This window comes from Homo sapiens, chromosome 11, assembly GCF_000001405.40.
Source record: "Homo sapiens chromosome 11, GRCh38.p14 Primary Assembly".
Classification (NCBI taxonomy): Eukaryota; Metazoa; Chordata; class Mammalia; order Primates; family Hominidae; genus Homo; species Homo sapiens.
In genome coordinates, this window is record NC_000011.10 from 8,599,664 (window position 1) to 8,606,069 (window position 6,406).

At 44.1% G+C, this 6,406-nt stretch overlaps 1 annotated feature.

Annotated features, from left to right (window-relative positions):
- Positions 4,203-4,704: an enhancer, noted in NCBI's record as "NANOG hESC enhancer chr11:8625413-8625914 (GRCh37/hg19 assembly coordinates)". NCBI's record gives its function as "activates a minimal SCP1, AML or CMV promoter by ChIP-STARR-seq in naive H9 embryonic stem cells {active_cell/tissue: H9 hESC(naive)}" and the evidence as "EXISTENCE:reporter gene assay evidence [ECO:0000049][PMID:30033119]".

The following is a 6,406-nucleotide window of genomic DNA, read 5'->3' on the forward strand; positions in this document are numbered from 1 at the left end:
TGGAACCTTCATACATTGCTGATGGGAATGTAAAACAGTACAGCTGCTTTGGAAAACACTCTGGCAGTTCATTAAATGATTAAACATAGAGTTATTATATGACCGCTCCTGGGTATGTGACCAAAAGAATAAAAAACATATGTCCACACAAAAACTTATACATGAATGTTCACAGCAGCATTATTCATAATAATCAAAAAGAGGAAATGACCCAATGTCCAACAAATAATGAATAAAATAAGCAAAGACAGTATATCCATACAATGGAATGTTATTTGGCCATAAAAAAAATGAAGTACTGACACATACTACAATATGGATGCCCCTGATAACATTATGCTAAATGAAAGAAGCCAGATGCAAAGAGCCATATACGGTATGATTCCATTTATATGCAGTGTCCACAACAGGCAAATTTATACATATAAAAAATAAATTAGCAGTTGCCAGGACAGGGAAAATGGGGAAAACTGCTAACAGTTACGTAGTTTCTTTTTGGGGTGATGAAAATATTCTAAAATTAGACCGTGTTGATGGCTGTGCACCTTGTGAATATTCTAGAAGCCACTGAATCGTGCTCTTTAAAAAGGTAAATTCTGGTCAGGTGCAATGGCTCACACCTGTAATCCCAGAGCTTTGGGAGATCAAGGTGGGAGGATTGCTTGAGGCCAGGAGTTTCCGACCAGCCTGGGCAACATAGCAAGACTCCATCTCTACAAAAAAAATTTTACATTAGCTGATGCACATGCAGATCATGGTGTGCATCTGTAGGCCCAGCTACCTGAGAGGCTGAGGTGGGAGGATCATTTGAGCTCAGGAGTTTGAGGCTGCAGTGAGCTATGATGGCGCCACTGCACTCCAGCCTGAGCAACAGAGCAAGATCCTGTCTCTCTAAAAAAAAAAAAAAAAGGTGAAGTGTATATCTCAATTTAAAAAGTAAAAACAACTAAATAATGCTTCATATTTTACAGATTCTAAAACCACTTTTTTTTTCACTTTTTAACTTCTTAGAAATTGGGCTGCCTCTCACTGATTACATATTACTATTGCTGTTAGCCAGGTAGCAGTCCTGATATTGTGGCATAAAAACCTTTTGTTGGCACCTTCCTGAAGAACCAAGAAATTACCTACATTTATGTGCCTTCGTTTTAATAAAATACAGGTACTACTAACCCACCTAATAATATCACCAATTCCATGCCAGGCACTGTCCCAAATGCTTTATGTATTTTAATTTAATTCTCACAATAACTCCGTGAGGTGGGTACTGATGAAGAAACAGAAGTACAGTCTACAGGATTGACTTGTCCAAGACCACATGGCTAGTATGTGTGAGTCCCATCCGGGCTGTCTGGTCCAGGGGCTGCGCTCCTGACCATTGGCATCACTGCCTCCCTTACCTGTAACATGCTGTGAGTGCAAGTCAGCCTTAAACAGCCTTTAAGGTTCCCGGAGCAAAGTGGGCCAAGAGAGTAACTAAAGCTAATAGTCTTGCGACGGTTTCATGATAAAAACACTATTCACTTGGAAGTTTGATTCATATGTCGAAACATTGTTTGGCTATGTCTAAGGAATTTCACGGTGGAGAACTTCGTTTACTGAGCACAGATAAAAGGGAGTAATCTTTTTCTGCTTTGCTTACACATGAGTAAAGGGAGCTGGAGCCTTAGTCTAGACCCTCATCATTTTTCCACCAGTTGACAGCAGAGACTACCTCCCTGTCCTGTGAGAAGAGCTGAGTGAGGGGCAAGCCCAGCCAGGCTCAAGCATGGGAATAGATGGACGAAGTCCCTTTTACTCACATGTGAAGGATATAGACACAGAGGGAAAGCCACCAGAAGTCATCCCAGGAAAGAATGCAGGGCCACATCTGGGGCAAACGTTCTACCGCCCTGTCACTGACATCCAATGTTGATAATTTAATGCAAAGTAGATCACAGGAAGATTGGAAGGACTCCTGAAGTTTCGTGGTGTCTGGCATGCCCAGGCTCATGAGAGAAGATGGATTGTGCCACCTCCAAGAAACTGTAAGCAGAGGGAAAAGATAGTGAAGCCCTTCCTGTCCCCATACCGCCAAGGCTCTTAACACACCCAGTCCTGCTGAGTCCCCTCAGATACCAGGTGCCTGTTCAGAATGGTCGGGGAAACCCAGCTGGAGCCTGACTGCTTCCAGTGGCCTCAGTTCCTTGAGGGCAGAGTGGGGGTGAAGTCTGGACTCAGAGGCCTCCACTGCCTCTGCACATCCTCTTATGAAACCTTCAGTGGCATTTTCCAGCCATAGACAATAGTGGCTCCTCCCCTCCAGCTTAGGCCTCTAAGCCAAACACAATCCTATCAGAAGAGAAATGATGGAAGCAAAGGAGACAGCGGAAGACACACTCTAACGAGGCAGGACGCTGGCTCTGAATTGTGTAACAGAAAGGGGTGGGCAGAGGAGCTACCTGGGATCACTATTGTTTAATTCTTTTATTCTTCTTAAATTTTTGTTTGGAAATAACTTCAAACTTTTATAGAAAAGTTATGAAAATTAAAATAGTTTTTAAAATGCCCATATATCCTTTGTTTTTTGTTTTATTTTGAGATGGAGTCTCACTGTCGCCCAGGCTGGAGTGCAGTGGTGCGATCTCGGCTCACTGCAACCTCCGCCTCCCGGGTTCACGCCATTTTCCTGCCTCAGCCTGGGACTACAGGCGCCCGCCACTATGCCCAGCCAATTTTTTGTATTTTTAGTAGAGACGGGGGATCACCATGATGGCCAGGCTGGTCTCAAACTCCTGACTTCGTGATTCACCCGCCTCGGCCTCCCAAAGTGCTGGGATTACAGGTGTGAGCCACCATGCCCAGCCTGTTTTTTTGTTTTTTTAAATAGAGACAGAATCTTGCTCTGTCTTTCAGGCTGGAGTACAGTGGCATGATCATGGCTCACTGCAGCCTCAACCTCCTGGGTTCAAGCATGGAGTCCTGTTTTGTTGCCCATGCTGGTCTCAAACTCCTGGGCTAGAGTGAGCCTCCTACCTTGGCCTCCCAAAGCTGTGGAATTAAAAGTGTGAGCCACCCAGGTGGGAGCTAAACATGTGTACACATGGACATATACTGAGTGAAATAATAGATATTAGGGAATACAAAAGGTGGGAGGGGGTGAGGGTTGAAAAACCTATTGGGTACAATGTTCACTATTCAGGTGATGGATACACCAAAGCCCAGACTTCAGCACCACACAATAAATGCATGTAAGAAACCTGCACTTGAGTCCCCTCAATATATTTGAATAAATAATTTAACTTTAAAAGAAAAAAATGTGAGCCACCGTGTCTGCCCCCATATGTCCTTCACCCAGATTCACCTATTAAGATTTTACATCAGCCAGGCACGGTGGCTCACGCCTGTAATCCCAGCACTTTGGGAGGCCGAGGTGGGCAGATCACAAGGTGAAGAGATCGAGACCATCCTGGCCAACATGGTGAAACCCCGTCTTTGCTAAAAATTAGCTGGGTGTGGTGGTGCACACCTGTAGTCCCAGCTACTCAGGAGGCTGAGGCAGGAGAATCACTTGAACCTAGGAGGCAGAGGTTGCAGTGAGCCAAGATCGCGCCACTGCACTCCAGCCTGGCCACAGAGCGAGACTCCATCTCAAAAAAAAAAAAAAGATTTTACACCATTTGCTTTATTAATAGCACTCTCTCTATATATGTGTGTGTGTGTGTATGCATGTTTAATTAAAAAAAGATATACATCTACAGCTTTGTTCTGTACCATTTGTGGGTGAGTTACATACACTAAGGACCTTGACTTCTAAATACTCCAGTGCATATTTTCTAAAAACGAGAATATTCAATTATATAACCACAGTTCAGTTATCAACTTTAGTACATTTAACATTGATACAATAATCTCATCTACTCTCCATATCCCCATTTTGTCAGTTGACCCAAGAATGTCCTTTCTATTACATTTTCCTCACTCCACTACAGGACCCAATATAGGGTCAGGAATTGCATTTAGCTGTCATGTCTCTTTAGCCTCCTTGAACCTGGACATTTTCCTAGCTTTTCTTTGTCTTTAACGACAGGGACATTTTTAAAGAATCCAGTCCCCTATCCCCTGCCTTTACTTAATATAACGTCTTTCATTGTGGGTTTGCCTGATGTTTCTCTGTAATGAGATTCAGGTTCTGCATCCTTGGCAGCAATACTGTATCATGGGTGACATCATGTCCTTCTCACAGCATTACATCTGGGTGCACAGTATGTCCACCTGCCCCTTATTGGTGATGTTATTTTGAGCACATGATCAAGATGTTATGTGATTTCTCCACTGTATAATACTCCAATTGCTGTATATTTTTTCCTCCCTCACAACTTTTCCTGCACAACAATGAGCAGTCAGTGGAGAGACAATTTAGGACTATGCAAATATCCTGCTCCTCATCAAAATTTCCCCCTAGGGTTAGCCCTTAACAAGTTTTCTGACGATCCCTGGGGCTAAATGAGTGCCCCGGCGCCACCTATGGGGCTTGCAGCACACTGCAACACCGGGAATGAACCTCGGACCTCTCTCACTCTGCCACTTGTCTGGAGTCCAGGAACTACTTCAGCCCTAGACATTTTGAAAGATCCTATAGAGACCTGAGTTGCAAGCCTGAGTTCTAGTCCAGACACCGCCAATGACTCATGAGGAATCTTGGACAAGTCTTCTTAAGACTTATGTTCCTAGTGAAATGTAGGGTTGGCTGACAGAGATCTGAGTTATACATTCAAGTAATACTTATTGAGCAACTACAGGCACTGTTCCAGGATCCAAGCAAGACTTCTGCTCTCAGGGAAGCTTACACCCTCTGTGACTCAGACAGTGAGCAAGAACACAAGACGAAGAAAAAGATAAACATACCTCATAGTAAGTGCCATGATGACGATGAAACAGGGCTGTGAGAGAGTGCCTGGGTCCACTTCAGATTGTGTGGTTAGGAAAAGCTCTCTGAGGAGGGGTGCGAGCTAAGATCTAAAGGGTGATTGGAGCCAACCCTGACCTTGAGAAGTTTTGGAGGTAGAGCCTTCCAAGCAGAGGGAAGAGTCAAGGATGACTAGGGGTTTGGTACTTCTTCCATATCTATGGCTCTTTGGGGGTGTGGGGGCAGGGTCAGGAGACTCCCAGGTGTCCCTGAAGCAGAGCAAGAGACGGATAAGAGAGAGGTGTGTTCTCCAGAATAACAGGGAGAAATTCTAGAGGTGTTGACAAATGAAGTGGCTTTTAAAAGATGAGTAAAGATTTTGAAAGGTAGATTATAGAACAGAGAAAGACATTCCACGTAGGAAAGGGGAAGAATGGGAGGCACACAGGAGTCATTGGCTATGGCAATTCTGAAATCCAAGTGGGCAAATATTTTGAGGGCCTCCTAGTCTGGTCGGGAATTATTCATTATTTTCTGATTCAGGTCCCTGGAAGTAGCTCCCTTGCCTGTTGTTCTCCTTATCCCTTGCTTCTGCCCTCAAAGAGGTTCTTCACATTTTAGTGTCCCTGCTGATGTGGGGCTTGAGGCATAAACCTCTTTGGGGGCTGAGCAGCCTTCTCAACTCTTAGGTGTGTTAAGAGCCTGAGCATTCTCTACCATAGATTATTGAAAGCCCAAGAGCCATTTAATGTCTTCAACAGTTATTGTTTTCTGTTAGTCTAGGCTCATCATTCCCCTGGCAATAAAACACTCTAAAAACCTCATTATGGGCCGGGCACAGTGGCTCACACCTGTAATCCCAGCACTTTGGGAGGCCAAGGCAGGCGGATCACCTGAGGTCAGGAGTTTGAGACCAGCCTGGCCAACATGGTGAAAACCCATCTCTACTAAAAATAGAAAAATTAGCCGGGCATGGTGGCAGGCGCCTGTAATCTCAGCTACTCAGGAGGATGAGGCAGGAGAATCGCTTGCGCCCAGGAGGCAGAGGCTGCAGTGAACTGACAGCTTGCCACTGCACTCCAGCCTGGGCGACAGATCAAGACTCCGTCTCAAAACAAACAAACACACCTCAAAACAAACAAACACACCTCATTATGTGTCTATCTATTGGAATGCAGGCAGCATCACTGGCTGAAAGCTATACCTGCAATTATTTTTGAGAACTACAGTAGTTCCACCTTATCCACGGGGGATATGTGCCAAGATCTTCAGTGGATGCCTGAAATCATGGATGGTTCTGAACCCAACATACTGTATACTGTTGTTTCCTATACAAACATACCTATGATGAAGTTTAATACACAAATTAGGCACAGCCAGAAATTAACAGTAACTAATAATAAAATAGAAAAAAACATAACTTGTATACTGTAACACAAGTTATGTGAATGTGATCTCTCTCTCAAAAATCTTACTGTACTGTGCTCACCCTTCTTCTTATGATCTGTTGACCTAATA